This window comes from Homo sapiens, chromosome 16, assembly GCF_000001405.40.
Source record: "Homo sapiens chromosome 16, GRCh38.p14 Primary Assembly".
Lineage (NCBI taxonomy): Eukaryota > Metazoa > Chordata > Mammalia > Primates > Hominidae > Homo > Homo sapiens.
In genome coordinates this window covers 85,071,191-85,085,388 of record NC_000016.10, presented here as the reverse complement: position 1 = coordinate 85,085,388, position 14,198 = coordinate 85,071,191, and the positions used below count along the sequence as shown (strand labels likewise).

Below are 14,198 nucleotides of genomic sequence, written 5' to 3'. Positions count from 1 at the left end.
TCTCCTGGCTCCTCGCCACCCCCTGGCCCACGAGAGGTCACTGGCACTGCTGCAGCTTAGCAGGGGTCACAGGACATCAGGGGCATGATGGGGGTGACTGACAAAGGTCACTCCCAGCCTCCTCGTGCCGATGGCAGGATGCCCACGAAGACACCAGAATATACTTCCAGGTACTCTGCAGAGTCCCATCCCATTTCCTTCCTACTGTCTTTCCCCGAAACAGCCACCCTGAGGGTTGTCCAGACACATAAACCCCCGCACCCCTCGCAGGCCTGCTGTGCACAGCTGTGCAGGTTGCGCCCTGCACAACCCCAGACCACACGGGAACGTCTCCCTTGGGAGTTGTACAGCACAGCAGCCCTGACCCCTCCTCTTCCTGAGCCAAATGAGGAGGCGATTCTTCTTGCCATGGTGAAGACGAAAGCTGGGACATTTAACCTGATGTCTCAAGAAAGAGGTAAATGGTCACTGGCAGTAGCAGATCAGGTAATGCCCACGATAAAATCACTTCTTACAACTGAGTTCAGGCCGGGTGCGGTGGCTCATGCCTGTCATCCCAGCACTTTGGGAGGCCGAGGCGGTCAGATTACCTGAGTTCAGGAGTTCAAGACCAGCCTGGCCAACATGGCAACTCTGTCTCTACTAAAAATACAAAAATTAGGCCGGGCGCAGTGGCTCATGCCTGTAATCCCAGCACTTTGGGAGGGTGAGACAGGTGGACCACCTGAGGTCAGGAGTTTGAGGCCAGCCTGACCAACATGGTGAAACCCCGTCTATACTAAAAATACGAAATGAGCCAGGCATGGTGGTGGGTGCCTCTAATCCCAGCTACTCGGGAGGCTGAGGCAGGAGAATTGCTTGAACCCGGGAGGCAGAGGTTGCAGTGAGCCGAGATCGCACCATTGCACTCCAGCCTGGGCAACAAGAGCAAAACTCCATCTCAAAAAAAAAAAAAAAAAGAGAACGAAAAGAAAAATTAGCCACGTGTGGTGGCGGGCACCTGTAATCCCAGCTACTCGGGAGGCTGAGGCAGGAGAACCGCTTGAACCTGGGAGGCAGAGGTTACAGTGAGCCGAGATCGCACCACTGTACTCCAGCCTGGGCAACAAGAGCAAAAGTCTGTCTCAAAAAAAAAAAAGAAAAAGAAAAGAAAAGAGAAATTAGCTGGGCATGGTGGCGGGCACTTGTAATCCTAACTACTCGGGAGGCTGAGGCAGGAGAATCGCTTGAACCCAGGAGATGGAGGTTGCAGTGAGCTGAGATTGTGCCACTGCACTCCAGCCTGGGCAACAGAGCGAGACTCCATCTCAAAAAAAAAAAAAAAAAAAAAAATTAGAAGAGTTCAATTTCCAGTACTGGTCAAGCTCTGACACTGGGCAGCGAGCTGAACATGCATCTACACCGCTACAGTGGGAATCTGGACGGGACCAACAGCCTGCTGAGAGGGAAACCTTCTGAAATGCAGAATCGTCTGCCTCTGTACACAGAGAGGATGATAATGGCATCTTGCTGTCAGCAGAAGTTACCAAAAAAGAGATGGCATGTTGGAAGCATGAGGTTGCCTGGGGACTTGGAGCCAACCTCGCCCCCTGCCACCTGCCTCAATCTCAAAGCAATATTCAGCCTTCTTCTGGGGAAGGCTCAGGGGCCGGTCAGAGATGAGGAGCTGGTGCACTGGTGCAGAGCTATGGGTGGTCAAAGCGAATCTGCCTCGGTGAGAAGGCCCAAGAGGCCAGCTGTCCCCTCAGCTGAGCTCAGGACAGACCACCCCTCCCCAGCAGTACCAACCAGCTCTCAGAGGACGCTGGGATGCTCCCAGCCCTCCTTGGGCTAGGGCTGTGGGGCTGACTCGTTCCTGGAAGGCTGGTTAAACACACAGTCACCCAGAGAGTCAGTGAAAACCTAGGGGCTTTGTTCATGAAAGGAGGTGTTTGTTAGGCCTAAGTCCTCCTTTGAAAGCCGTAAGTCTGCATAAGAAACACGATTGCTCATGACAATAAACACTACAGACATACCACTGATTAGAGGAGGCAACTTCATGAATCCTCCAACAAAAGAGCCATCGTCTCAGGGACTCTATTTAAAGAGGCAGATCAGCGACTCTAAAAATACATCACAAAGGATTCGAGCCCACAGAAAGGGGAACAGAGAGAGTCAGACCCCTCTGTGGGCTGGCAGGAAACAGCCCCATTCTCGGATTTCCTCGGGGGCCCCTCGCACCCCCATCCGAGTGGCTGGGAAAGTGGGAGTGTGTCCTTCTTCCGTGCCTCCCTCAAACTGGCGGCCCCAGGACACCCAAGAGTGGGTGGTGTTGCAAACAGGACAGGCTCTGCACCCCACCCGTGGCTTCCCAGATGAGCCGGGACCCACTTCTCCAGTGTGAACAGTAAGGCCAAGGGTGAGGCTTTCAGGTCTGCTCAGAAGGGGCCGGAGTGGCTGGTGGAGAGCACGGCTGGCTCAGAACTGGAGCCCGCTTTCCCCGGCGTCACCGCCTTTGCCTCTCGAGCTCATGCTGTCGCCAGGGCGTCTCAAGGTGTCACATTTGCTTTCTGACTATTTCGGAGTGCTCCGGCCTTGGCAGGCTCCCACCTGCCCAGTTCTGGGACGCATTGCCAGCCTGCCCTAGCGCTGGCCTCACCTCCCCAGGGCCGCCCTCCCCGCCGGCCACCAGGCTGCACCTGCGTCTGGGCTGTGCCTGCTGCAGCAGCTCAGCACAGTGCACAGCCCCCACCCTGCAGTGGCCTTCGCAGGAGCCCGCACTGTAAAATGGAACAAAGTCACGTGGACACACACACCTCTTCTCCTCCTCCTCTCCAGCATCCCCTCTGGAGCGGCAGCAGAAACAGGTAAACAAAGGAACATGTCAAAGTCATGCAAGATATGTGGATGGTAAAAAGAGAACAAGCAGAGGAGGGTTATTACAGGCAGAAACGGAGCGGGACAGAGAAAGACAGGAATATTCGAAATAAATTCACTTCCTAGAAGTCTGAGAACTAAAGAGGCAACGCCCCTCTGCCTAGGGGCATCTGAGCATGTCCCTGTTCTGGTCTCCTGGCACAGCGGGGTCTCTCGAGGCTCCTCGGGCAGTCTCAGCGTCTTTCCCTCTCCACGAGCCCCTCTGCCTCCCCAGGAAATGCGGCCATGGCACAATGCTCCAGGCCTCCTGCCCCCAGAGGGTTTTAGCTGCCTCCAGAAGAAAGAATTTCACTTGAGACACGGCAAGTGCTGGTAGACTCGAGTCTTCCCCCCAACAGCAGCCATCTGCCCACTCTCCTGACAAGAGTGAAGGGTAGAGGGTCTCCCCAGTGTTACAGGGGGAGGGATGTGCTTTATTAATGAGGAGACCAGGGCCCTGAGAGGTTCAGACTTCAGTCACATGACTGGAAGGGGCTCCCCCAGGGGCTGCCGTCCCTCGCTGTCATGTCGCTGCACATGGTGGACGGCAGCTTTGCTTGCTATGGCATCGGCCCCCGTGGGGTGGGTGCCAGCCCCTCCCCTCTGCCACGTGCGAGGTGGCCCTCGGTGAAGCTGGGAAGGTCTGCTCAGGCTGCAGACCCAAGAGGTGAGTTGCGAGCGGCAACTGCATTCCCCAGGCGCCAGCTCTCGAGGGCAGTCTCGGGGATGGTGGCCAGCCCTTCCTCCCAGGACCCTGCTCCAAGCGTTCATCCTCAGGATGCTGATTTTGTCCAGCAAACAGCAGGGTGGGCCCAGCAGCAGGGGTCCTGATGGTCTTAGTGGGAGTTTGCATTTTTAGGAGGGTCAGGCCAAGTCATGCCAGAGCCCCAGGACAGAAAGCGCTCATGCAAGCTGAGCACCCCCACCCATGAAGCTGTGACCCCTCAGGCAGCTTGCGAGGCACCAGGGCCATGAGGGGGTGAAGAAAAAACAGACACGTCCACTCAGCTGCTCTTCTGCTCTCCTCTTCCGAAACCGGGAAATAAAGCCACTCCCTGGTCCTTTTTCCTGAGGCCAAATGGGGCCACACTTTGCTCCTACCTGGTAGTGGGAGATCGCTTTGTCCTCTCACAATGGACAGCGTCAAAAAAGGCTGCATTCCAGAACCTCAGAGTGTGCCTGCAAGACAGAGCCCCAGTCACACTCTCTCCAAGGGGAGGCGGGGAGGACACGGGTTGTGGGCCCCTTGAGGGATAAACAAGGGCAGTGTCTCACATCTGTCTGAGCTTCTAAGAAGTCTCAGAGAGGTAGGGCTGAGAAGGAAAAACTGAGCATATGGCTTGATCTAATTACAGCTGTTTCCCTGGGGCTCCCAGCGGCTGCGTATCTCTTAGGAGAGATGGCGCAAGTGGGAGGGAAAGCTATGATAACCCGGGCTGCGCTGCAGGCAGGAGGGCACTGGCGGGCAAAGTTGAAGCCACCATCTGTAGGACACGGAGGTGGGTCGTTTTCTTCTTCTGCCTTTCCCGTTGGGACTCCCAAGACGAAGCAGAGGGCTGGGAAGGTGTGCTTTTCTACATCAGGGTCTAGTAACATCAATGGCAACCAGGCAGGGACTCCTCGTGTGCTGAGCGAACTAACGTTCATAGGGATACTCAAGGAAAAAAACATTCTTATTTTATTTATTTATTTATTTTTTTGAGATGGAGTTTCACTCTTGTTGCCTAGGCTGGAGTTCAATGGCACAATCTCGGCTCACTGCAACCTCTGCCTCCCAGGTTCAAGCATTCTCCTGCCTCAGCCTCCTGAGTAGCTGGGATTATAGGCATGCGCCACCACACCCAGCTTATTTTGTATTTTTAGTAGAGATGGGGGTTTCGCCATGTTGACCAGGCTGGTCTCGAGCTCCTGACCACAGGTAATCTACCCGCTTTGGCCTCCCAAAGTGCTGGGATTGCAGGCATGAGCCACTGTGCCCAGCAGAAAAATTCTTCTTAAAGAACATCAGGGGTTGGCAAACGATGGTGTGTAGGCTGAAGCGGGCCAGTGGCTTGTTTCTGTAAATAAAGTTTTATTGGAACAAGCCACGCTCATCCATTTATACAACGTCTCTGGTGGTGTTCACGCTACAACAGCATAGTGGTGTGGCTGCAGCAGAGACCATCTGGCCCGCAAAGTCTAACATATTTATTATCTGGCCTTTCACAGAAAAGTTTGCCAAGTGACAATGAAAAGACAGCAGCCAAGTCAAGGACAGAGGAGCTGAGCTGAATCACCAGACAGCGGGACAAAGCGGGCCAGCTTCTCCCCGTCCTCTGCTTCCATGGGAACCGGGTCCAGCCTCCTCAAGGGCCTTCCTGACAGCTCCGGCCCTGCCCTCTGCCCTCTGCCCTCTGGGTCCCGGCAGCGCTCCCTGGCCAAGCTCCTCAAGTAACCCTTGCTTGGTTAACGGGCAAAATGCACCACAGCCAACTGTGATCTTCAGGGGAGGGAGGGCCCGTCTGACACTGATTCCAGGTGCTAGCAAAGCACTCTAAAATATGTCGAGGAGAGGCTTCAGAGAGATTAACGCAGCACGACCATCATCTGCGGAGCCAGGCCATATGCCAGGGCGGCCAAGATTTCCCCTGCAACACTGGTCTCACACTTCAACCATGACCTCCATTCACGTATATATATGTAAGAGCTTAATTAGGATATAATTCACTTGCCATGAAATTCACCCTCTAAAACATACAATTCAGTGATTTTTAGTGTATTCACAGAGTTGTGCAGCCACCACCATTTCCAGAACATTCTCTCACCCCATAAAGAAGCCCCATCCCCATCAGCAGTCACGCCCTGCTCCCCATTCCCCACCCTCTGCCCGGGCAATCTGTCATCTGCTGTGTCTCTAGGAATCTGCAGTTCTGGACATTTCATAGGGATGATACAATACTTGGGCTTCTGTGTCTGGCTTCTTCCACTGAGTTTCACGATGTTTCCCAGGTCTATCCCTGCTACAGCGTGGAGCAGCATGCCATTGCTTTTCATGGCTGGCTAATAGTCCATGCAACGGATGGACCACATTTTGTTTACCCATTCATCACTGGACAGCCATGAAGGTGGTTTCCACCTCGGGGCCATAATAAACGACGTTGCTACAGACATTTGTGTACAAGGTTTTGTGAGGACATGTTTTTCTCTTGGGCGACTCCTAGGAGTGGAGCTGCTGGGTCACAGAGTAACTCTTGTGTTTCACCTTTAAAGGAACTGCCAGACTGTTTCTCAGCGGCTGCTCATTTACATTGCTCCTAGCCATACAGGAGAGCTCCAGTTTCTCCACATCCTCACCAACGCCTGTGAGTGTTCATCTTTTTATTCTGCCACTCTGGTGAGTGTGAGAATTCTGCCATTCTGATGGGGACAAAGGCAGCTAGAAGTGATCCCGGGGAGTGACTGCTGGCCCCGTCAGTAAGAGGGTGACGGGAAGCCGCGGGCTCGGCCTTACCAGATGGGCTGTTGCTTCAGGTGCGTGTACAGGTAGATCTTCTCCCCCTTCTTTTCGTCCTCGGGGCTGTACGCGGTCACTGTGGGAGGAGAGAGAATGGCTGAAAGCAGCTCTGGTTGCGCACCCACTGTTGGCAAACCCCGGGTGACAGCCTCCCAGCAGCCAGTTTCTCCCCGAATGTCACTGAAACACGTGATGCAAACCCCACCGTGGCTTTTCTGCTAGCCATAGCCAGTAACGGTGCTATTCCCACCCGGCAATAAGGACTTCTTCTGAGGGATGGTTCCGTAGCATGGCCACAGCCCCTCGCAGTAACCCTTAGCCTTCCTGGGATAAGGAATTTAGTTCCTCCTGAGAAAACTGGCTCTTCCACAGAAACTCAGTGAGAAAATACAACCACGGGAGCTGGGAAGCAACTGGGGCATCACCCAGGGCAAGGTGCCCATGCTCCGTGGAGGCAGGAAAGCCCCAGAGGCCGTGCACCTGCTTGTGTGCTGGCTGAGGGGCTGTGGGCTGGGCGTCTCCTGCTGCTGCCTGGGCAGACTCACCAGCCCTGGGCCGCTTCTCCTGGGGTTTGTTCTCGTCTTCCCTGAGGGAGAGAAGGCACAATGATGACACACGCGACTCACACCACACTTTCTCAACTCAAAGACGCTGTTCTACACTTCTAAGGTGGGACTGGGTACATTTAATACGGCTTGCTCTGAAAAGCCTTTTATGAAATCAAGGCTCTATTTGTCAACTGCCAGTGTTTCAGAATTCAGGAAATGTGGCATTGAGGTTTCTTTATGTCATTTTCTCTGAATCCAAAGCTGAATGGGGTAGAGGAGGAGGCCAAGGCACCCGGCTGTGGCCCAGCCATGAGTGGGAACAGGGGACCCCGGGGGCTCCCTCTGGCTGCCGCATCCCTCTTCCTTGTGGAAGTCTTAGCTTCTACGCGTCTACTTCTGATGTGCCCGTCCCCAAAGCATTCCTCGAGTGTCTGTCAGAGCCCTGCTCTCCTGGGGACAGTGTTTTTTCTCCTGCGACTCAAGACCGTGTTCCACAAGCACTCACTGTTGGTCCAGCCAGGGGATGGAGGGGACAGAGGAGACAGAAGGGAGGGCTGCAGTTCCCTCTGCCATCTGACAATCCCTTGGGCTCCTCATCAGTCCCAGGGAGTGTGGCCCCCAGGGACATCCCTGCATGTCAGTGGGGGGGGCTTGGCTTTGCAGACCATAGCAAGCCGTGGGGGCAGAAGTGGCTGGGCAGCGCAGTGTTCCTGACAGTCTCTGGGCCTCACCCGCACCCTCCCTGCTGCCCCCGTCCGAGCTCCACACCAGCCTCTCCCCAGTCCCCTGCAGGTGGGAGGGACCCCAAGGCCACACGTACTCGTTCCTCCTGGCCAGGGGCCCCTTCAGCTTGGTCTCCAGCCCCCCGAAGAAGCCCTTGACATTCTCAGTCCTGGCCGAGGTGTTCTTCAGCAGCCGCTCGGCGATGTCCTTCTTTTCGGCCAGCCAGCTGTTTGCGGATTTCAGGTAGGAGTCGATGCTGCCCGCGGGCTTCTCCCGGGACTCCGGGGGCAGCAGCTGTGGTTTTCCTTGGATGAGAGAGGGAACAAGACGAGGCCAGTGAGGCTGGGGTATGCGCCTGCTAACTGCAGAGGCCCAGAGGGAGCCCCGCAGGGGTCCTGTGCAGTGGGGATACGGGAGCCTCCCTCCTCAGCCGAGGACAGGGGGTGGTGCAGGCTCAGCCGGCCCAGGATGAGGAAGTGGGGGCCCTGCTCCCCGTGAGTGCCCCCAGCACCTGCTGTGCACTGAGAAGCCACTAGGAGCAGGGAGGGAGCAAAGTAGATGCAAGCAGGAGGAGCGAGGCCCAAGTGGCAGGGTCTGCAGGCAGGCGAGGGCAGAGGCCCGACCATGCCAGTGCCAGGGAGGCAGAAGCCAGCTGGGCACCAGGCCCCTGGAATGGGAGTGTGGAGACACCGGGTTGGGGGGGGGCCTGGAGGAGGAGTCTGGGCAGCACCCAAACTCCCTTAGCCAGTGGATGGACATGAGGCCCTGGCACCCCCACAGGATGAGGCACCCCCACGGGCCTCAGTGCCCACTATAGGTCAAAGGCCCTCTGCAGGTCCCAGTGGGGTGTCCTCGCTAGCTGAAGCTGCTGTGGGTGGCCCTGTCTCAGGAAGCAGTGTCTATTCATTATGTGTCTATCCGTTCTTCAAAAAGGAGGAGCCACAGGTTGTACTGGGGGGTTCCTACCCCACCCAAAGCAGCCGACGTGTGGCCTGGCAGGAAGGGCCTGCCCACTGGTGAGGCTGGGACACCAGCCATGGCAGTTGGACCAACTGAACTGAGGGGTGCGGAGAGGATGGCTGTGGGAGGGGGAGGGGATACATACACCCCAAGAGTGAGCACGCGGGTCCCGAGAGAGGAAAGCACGGGGGACCAGGGCCTAGCACCTCCCTGACCTAGCTCCAGTCCACGAGGAGGCTTCCAGCAACCTCCCACCTATGGTGGCCTGAATGAGTCCTGTTGCTGCAGCCCAAGGAGACTCACGCAGGAAGCCCTTGAGCTCCAACATACGAGAAAGTGCCAACGCAATGAGGCGGAAGAGATGTCCTAGCCTCAGCATCAAGCACAGTCCGCACTCCTCATAAGCCATCTCCAGCCCATCCCTGGGAACTCTCTGCAGCTTCAGATCCTACGCTGCTCCTCCCCACCACCCTCCAACAACCAACTGTGTCGTCTTGTTTTGGTAAAACATAAAACTGATAACTTCATGTCCAGCAGTTCCTGTTTCCACCATGAAATGTCCTGCCTAGCTTGTTTCTTTTCTCATCTCCTACCAGCTCAGGAGTTTCCTTTGCACCCTGGTCAGTCAACCTACTGCCCCAGGAGAGTTTCCTTCGTACCCTGGGCAGTCAACCTCCTGCCCCATGATTCGGACTGTGTTTTCTCCGAAGTCTCACTCCTCCCTAACATCAGCTTCCTCTGTTCTCTGGAGGCCCCATAGCTTTTGCTTTTTATCATGAAGAAAGCTTCCTCTGACACCATATTATCAGCAGACTAGCCTCAGGTGAGCCCCACATCAGCCCACCCATGTCTTACCGATGTGGTAGTAGGTGAAGCACATGGTCATGAGGTTCTTGGCAGGCCCAAAGTCATCCATCTGATGACACCTGAAACAAGAGGCAAGGCTCATGGCTAAAGATCGCTCCACCTGCTTCTTCCTGCAAGTCGGTCAGACATCACTGAGACACTTGACACATGCGTCCCAATTAATATCTTCCCCACTGGAGATGCACAAAACAATCTCCCCAAGTTCCATTAGGAGAACTACACGTAGGCACACGGCCTGGGACTGATTCTGAACGGGAAGGAGTTTGTGGTCTGCCTGCCCGGCTTCTTTCACTGGAAAGGTGAAAGCCCAGGCCTGGGAAGCTCAACTTGACGCCCAGGAGCAGAGCCAGGATGAGATGCCAGCCCTCAAGTCTCAGTGAAAACCCGTGGCTCAGGCCGCCCAGCCCTCCAGCCCTTGATTTCTCGGGAACTAGCAGTAAGCTGGATGACCTTCCCCGCATCCCTGGCTCTCAGGCTCCCGCCCACAGCATTCGCAGTGGGGTGTCAGGAGGTGGAGCCTCTGATTCAACAGGTCTTGGTCTTGGGTCGGGCCATTCCTTTGCCTTGTAGGTTTCTTTGCCTTTCTATCCTGATCCCTTTTAGACTTTTCTTTCCTGTTTGGGTTTTAACCTTGGACAATTATTACTTTACAAGTCAAAAGAAATTATCTAGACAGTGGGATTAAAGGCCATTTTTATCTTTTTATATAAAAAACTAATCAACTAAACTAGTAATAAAACTATAAAAGACTAAAAGTAAAAATTAACTTTTTACTTTAGATGTTTAACAAACTAAAGATTATAAAACTAAAAAATCCCATATTGTCTAAATAGTAAAAGGGTTTTTGTTTCACTTTGTTTTTGCAACTATACAAACATATATATGCTCAGGGACCAAGTGATGGCAAGAATTTTTGTGTTTTGGCAGGGTTGGGACTTTAATCCCCTCCCTCCCCAACGTTACTTATATAGGACAAAAAACTCAAAGGAAAATGGAGAATTACTTTTAGCCTAGTGCAAATTAAAAAAAAGAAAGAAAGAAAATGGAGAATTAGAACTATGCAAAATGGGACTTCATGAAAATGCCTGTGACTGCAAATGTCGGAAATTGAAGTATCTTAATTGCATGAGAGAATGTTTCATAAAAGGCAATCTGGAGGGCCTGTTTTAAACCACCGCCCTCTTGGCCAAAGGTGAGGGCTCACTCAACCTCTTTCAGTGGTTTCTTAGCCCTCCCCTGGCCAGCTCTGAAGGCCAGACCTCAGAGGGGAAATGGATCTTGGACTTGGGGTATCCTGAGCAAGAGCAGGAAAAATAGGGATACTCCTTTTGTTGGTCTTCTTCCAGTATATGCCCAAGTTCAAAGAGAAAGAGAGAAAGTGGAGAGACATGAAGCAGGAGAACTGGGACTCAAGAGAGCAGGCTGGGTGTGGTGTTTCACGCCTGTAATCCTAGCAATTTGGGAGGCTGACGAAGGAGGATCCCTTGAGCCCGGGAGTTTGAGACCAGCCTGATGACTTCATCTCTACTAAATATATATGTGTGTGTGTGTGTGTGTGTATGTGTGTATATATACGTGTGTGTGTGTGTGTATGTGTGTATATATATATGTATATATAAATGGAATATGGCCAGGTGTGGTGGCTCACTCCTGTAATCCCAGCACTTTGGGAGGCTGAAGCAAGTGAATCACTTGAGGTCAGGAGTTCGAGACCAGCCTGGCCGACATGGTGAAACCCTGTCTCTACTAAAAATACAAAAATTAGCTGGGCATGATAGTGCGTGCCCGTAATCCCAGCTACTCAGGAGGCTGAGGCAGGAGAATTGCTTGAAACCGGGAGGCGGAGGTTGCAGTGAGCTGAGATCCCACTGCACTCCAGCCTGGGTGACAGAGCAAGACCCTGTCTCAAAACAAAAACAAAAACAAAAACAAAAACAAAACAAAACAAAAAAAACGACACAAGAGAGCAGCTTTCTTTTGGTTGGGAGACAAGGAAGTAAAGGAGGGATATTTTTCAGGCCTGGAAGGACAAAACAAAGGCAGTGATGTGAGAAGGTGGCGATGGGATGAGCCAAGGACCAGGAGGGGACGTGGGGCCCAAAGCAGGGACTGCTTGGAGGCCTTCTGCAGGAGACGAGGATAGTGGGGTACAGATATGCCCAGATCAGGGCTCCCAGCCCCAGAATCCTCCTCTCGAGGCTCCGGGTCGGTCAGGCCACTGCCCAGCCTCCCCAAGGCCAAGAGGCATCCCCTCCATTTCACACCTTGGAGGCATGAAGCTGGTCTGTTGACCCCAGAGAGTCATGCTCCTGAGAAGAGGGTCTATGCCTCATGGGGTCTGGCTCCCTAATCTCACAGGTGAGCGGGGGCAGAGATGGGATTGGCCCCAAATCTCCAGCTGGCAGCCATGCCCTTTCCACCACCCCTCACCGCCTACCAAGGGCTTCCTGTGATAAAAGGCCCCAGCAGTGCCTAATCAGTGTTCGCAGGGAAAGCTACAGTCCTCCCAACATATCATTAAGTGTTTATATGCTAGTGGGGTGGGTGGTTGAGTTTGAAGTACTCTACAATAGGAACTCGGGAAAGTACCAGATCTCCCGGGGAGGGCAGGGCCACAGTGCACCATCACCATCTGGCCCTGAGGACCCACACAGAGGATGCTCCTCACACGCAGCGGCAGCCCTCTCATTCGCTGCCAGCTAAGGACTGCCAGCCCTGCTCCCGCGAGATGGAGGTCACGACTGTGCCTTTTAGCTGAATGCTGGGCGTAGCAGAGCAACTGCAACCTGATGACTAGTGTGGATATGGTTCACAGCTGGGTTATGACACGGCTGGGTGGGGAGGGAGGCAGGGAGGGAAGAGGAGCTTGCCAGGACAAAGGCTTTGTGCCACGGCATTACTTACTCGAACAGCACCACTGCAAAAGACTGCACCAGGCGGTAGAAGGTTGCCTCTGAGACACACTTGGAGTTGCAGCGCTGTCCAGAAAGAGGCAGACACATCATTGAGGTTCAGGGCGACACACGCAGCACTCAGTGAAGCTGCAGGCTTTGCACTCTCAGTGTTTCCAAATGCAGCTGGGATGGGGGCCCAGGATGTCTGCTGCCTCTGCACTATAGAACCCACCCCTTCTGCCAGGACCCGGGCAGAGTGTAGCCACCTGCACCCAACCATCACTGGGCAGGGCACATGCAGGGGTTCCCCTCGGTGTCCTTCCCAGATTTTTAAAAGTAGGAACTTCATACACACCCACACACAGAAAGATACCCCACAGTGACAACACTGGCTGTTTCCAAATTGTGCATTTGTGGGTAATTAACTTCTCTTTGCTCATCTGCATTTTCTAACTTTTCCATGAAAAATAAATTATTTGCACTAAAATACTCAAAAACTAAAAACTTAGGCCACTCAGGAAAAAAAAAAAAGAACCTATTGGATATTTACAAAATTTAATTCTTTTCTAAACTTTGTTAATATATTTTCTTCACATGGCTGTCATGGTCTTGAATATTTTTTGTTTTTTACAAAACACTGAGTATTATGGGTTAATAAAAATATGCACGCACATAATTCACATGCTTGCCTTTAAAAACTGAGCTTTTCCGGAATTTCATAAAGTTGAAAGCCCAGTTTCTTACTCTTTCCCTTGAAGTGCGACATCCAAATGAGCTACTTCCTGTTTCTCACTATTCTTTTTTAATTTTTAGAGATGCGGGGAGGGGGGACCTCACTATGTTGCCCAAGCTGGTCTCAAGCTCCTGGGCTCAAGCGATCCTCCCACCTCGGCCTCCCAAACTGCTGGGATTACAGGCATGAGCCACTGTGCCCAGACTGTTTCTTACTATTCTAAACACTCCTTTTCAGAGTATTTTTGGATAAGTTTTACTTTTTTTACTGTTGGGTCCTTTCCCTTGACTCTTTTCTCCAGAGTGTCATTGTAGGATAAAGTCAAATTTGTTATGCTTCACTAGATTCTTCCTTGAGAGTAAACGCCCATCCTTCCCATCACCTCGCCCTTACCTGGGCACTCACGTATCGAGCAAACCACTCCCGGCCTTTTCCATTTTCACTGCTGCAGTACTCTCCAAACTTGGCTTTCTCCTCCTGATCCAAGTCCTCCCTAAAAAAAAAAAAAAAGAGCAGAGGAAAAAAAAAAAAAACCCTTTTCAATCCCCTGGAGCAACAGGGGAAGAGCAAGGAGAAGGAACTAACGAAATATTCCCCAGCCAAGCACAGACCCCAACTCCCATCAGCTCATCTCAGCCTCCGGGCGGTCCCATGAGGAAAGGGTGTTACTATTATTTCAAAGGCGAGGAGCCTGGCTTGGAGAATCACACGCCGGCTTGAGAGTGGTGAACCAGAGTTCCATCCAGCCTTCCTGGTTCCAAAGCCCATGTCCTTCCCCTGCGCCTCCTGACCCCTGCCTGGGGAGGTCTGAGCCTGGATAAGGGCACGAACCCTAAGAGGTCTTGGTTCTCCAGCTCTCTGACTTCCCACTAGTTTTTGATGCTGAAGTCAGCATGGAACCAGCCCCTGAATTTAAGACATCCTGAATTTGCTCTGTCTCAGCATACTGACGCCAAGGTCTGAGGCCAAGAAGAAAATCACCTCCCACGTATCAGCGGGGCGCTCGCTCATCCCTCTGCACTTCTGGAGCGAGGCTGCTCATGGTTCAGGCCATCCCCTGCTGTGTGTGAGAGGGATGGAGACCG

The 14,198-nt window shown here is 53.2% G+C and overlaps 1 protein-coding gene across 10 annotated transcripts in view, besides 8 other annotated features; it reads right to left on the bottom strand.

Annotated features, from left to right (window-relative positions):
- KIAA0513 overlaps window positions 1-14,198 on the bottom strand; it is a 66,436-nt gene that overhangs the window by 8,842 nt on the left and 43,396 nt on the right. For 6 of the 10 annotated variants that reach the window (NM_001388359.1, NM_014732.4, XM_047434982.1 and 3 more), the window contains exons 3-10: window positions 13,507-13,606; window positions 12,391-12,464; window positions 9,475-9,545; window positions 7,757-7,964; window positions 6,934-6,974; window positions 6,386-6,464; window positions 3,997-4,074; window positions 2,796-2,825 (exon numbers count right to left, since the gene is read on the bottom strand). In NM_001388359.1, the coding sequence (NP_001375288.1) occupies window positions 2,796-2,825; window positions 3,997-4,074; window positions 6,386-6,464; window positions 6,934-6,974; window positions 7,757-7,964; window positions 9,475-9,545; window positions 12,391-12,464; window positions 13,507-13,606 (681 nt within the window). Of the gene's footprint in view, window positions 1-2,795; window positions 2,826-3,996; window positions 4,075-5,634; window positions 6,465-6,933; window positions 6,975-7,756; window positions 7,965-9,474; window positions 9,546-12,390; window positions 12,465-13,506; window positions 13,607-14,198 lie in introns of those variants that run through there. The other 4 variants (XM_047434984.1, NM_001286566.2, XM_047434983.1 and 1 more) reach the window with 2 other exon arrangements.
- Window positions 1,056-1,229: a silencer, noted in NCBI's record as "fragment chr16:85117766-85117939 (GRCh37/hg19 assembly coordinates)". NCBI's record gives its function as "represses an EF-1alpha promoter that drives an FKBP-Casp9 reporter gene in an ReSE screen in K562 erythroleukemia cells {active_cell/tissue: K562}" and the evidence as "EXISTENCE:reporter gene assay evidence [ECO:0000049][PMID:32094911]".
- Window positions 1,056-1,982: a biological region, named in NCBI's record as "OCT4-NANOG-H3K27ac-H3K4me1 hESC enhancer GRCh37_chr16:85117013-85117838".
- Window positions 1,157-1,982: an enhancer, noted in NCBI's record as "OCT4-NANOG-H3K27ac-H3K4me1 hESC enhancer chr16:85117013-85117838 (GRCh37/hg19 assembly coordinates)". NCBI's record gives its function as "activates a minimal SCP1, AML or CMV promoter by ChIP-STARR-seq in naive and primed H9 embryonic stem cells {active_cell/tissue: H9 hESC(naive and primed)}" and the evidence as "EXISTENCE:reporter gene assay evidence [ECO:0000049][PMID:30033119]".
- Window positions 1,983-2,810: an enhancer, noted in NCBI's record as "OCT4-NANOG-H3K27ac-H3K4me1 hESC enhancer chr16:85116185-85117012 (GRCh37/hg19 assembly coordinates)". NCBI's record gives its function as "activates a minimal SCP1, AML or CMV promoter by ChIP-STARR-seq in naive and primed H9 embryonic stem cells {active_cell/tissue: H9 hESC(naive and primed)}" and the evidence as "EXISTENCE:reporter gene assay evidence [ECO:0000049][PMID:30033119]".
- Window positions 2,811-3,638: an enhancer, noted in NCBI's record as "H3K27ac-H3K4me1 hESC enhancer chr16:85115357-85116184 (GRCh37/hg19 assembly coordinates)". NCBI's record gives its function as "activates a minimal SCP1, AML or CMV promoter by ChIP-STARR-seq in primed H9 embryonic stem cells {active_cell/tissue: H9 hESC(primed)}" and the evidence as "EXISTENCE:reporter gene assay evidence [ECO:0000049][PMID:30033119]".
- Window positions 6,740-7,294: an enhancer, noted in NCBI's record as "H3K4me1 hESC enhancer chr16:85111701-85112255 (GRCh37/hg19 assembly coordinates)". NCBI's record gives its function as "activates a minimal SCP1, AML or CMV promoter by ChIP-STARR-seq in naive H9 embryonic stem cells {active_cell/tissue: H9 hESC(naive)}" and the evidence as "EXISTENCE:reporter gene assay evidence [ECO:0000049][PMID:30033119]".
- Window positions 8,231-8,300: an enhancer, noted in NCBI's record as "active region_11259". NCBI's record gives its function as "activates an Ori minimal core promoter by ATAC-STARR-seq in GM12878 lymphoblastoid cells {active_cell/tissue: GM12878}" and the evidence as "EXISTENCE:reporter gene assay evidence [ECO:0000049][PMID:35858748]".
- Window positions 8,405-8,960: an enhancer, noted in NCBI's record as "H3K4me1 hESC enhancer chr16:85110035-85110590 (GRCh37/hg19 assembly coordinates)". NCBI's record gives its function as "activates a minimal SCP1, AML or CMV promoter by ChIP-STARR-seq in naive H9 embryonic stem cells {active_cell/tissue: H9 hESC(naive)}" and the evidence as "EXISTENCE:reporter gene assay evidence [ECO:0000049][PMID:30033119]".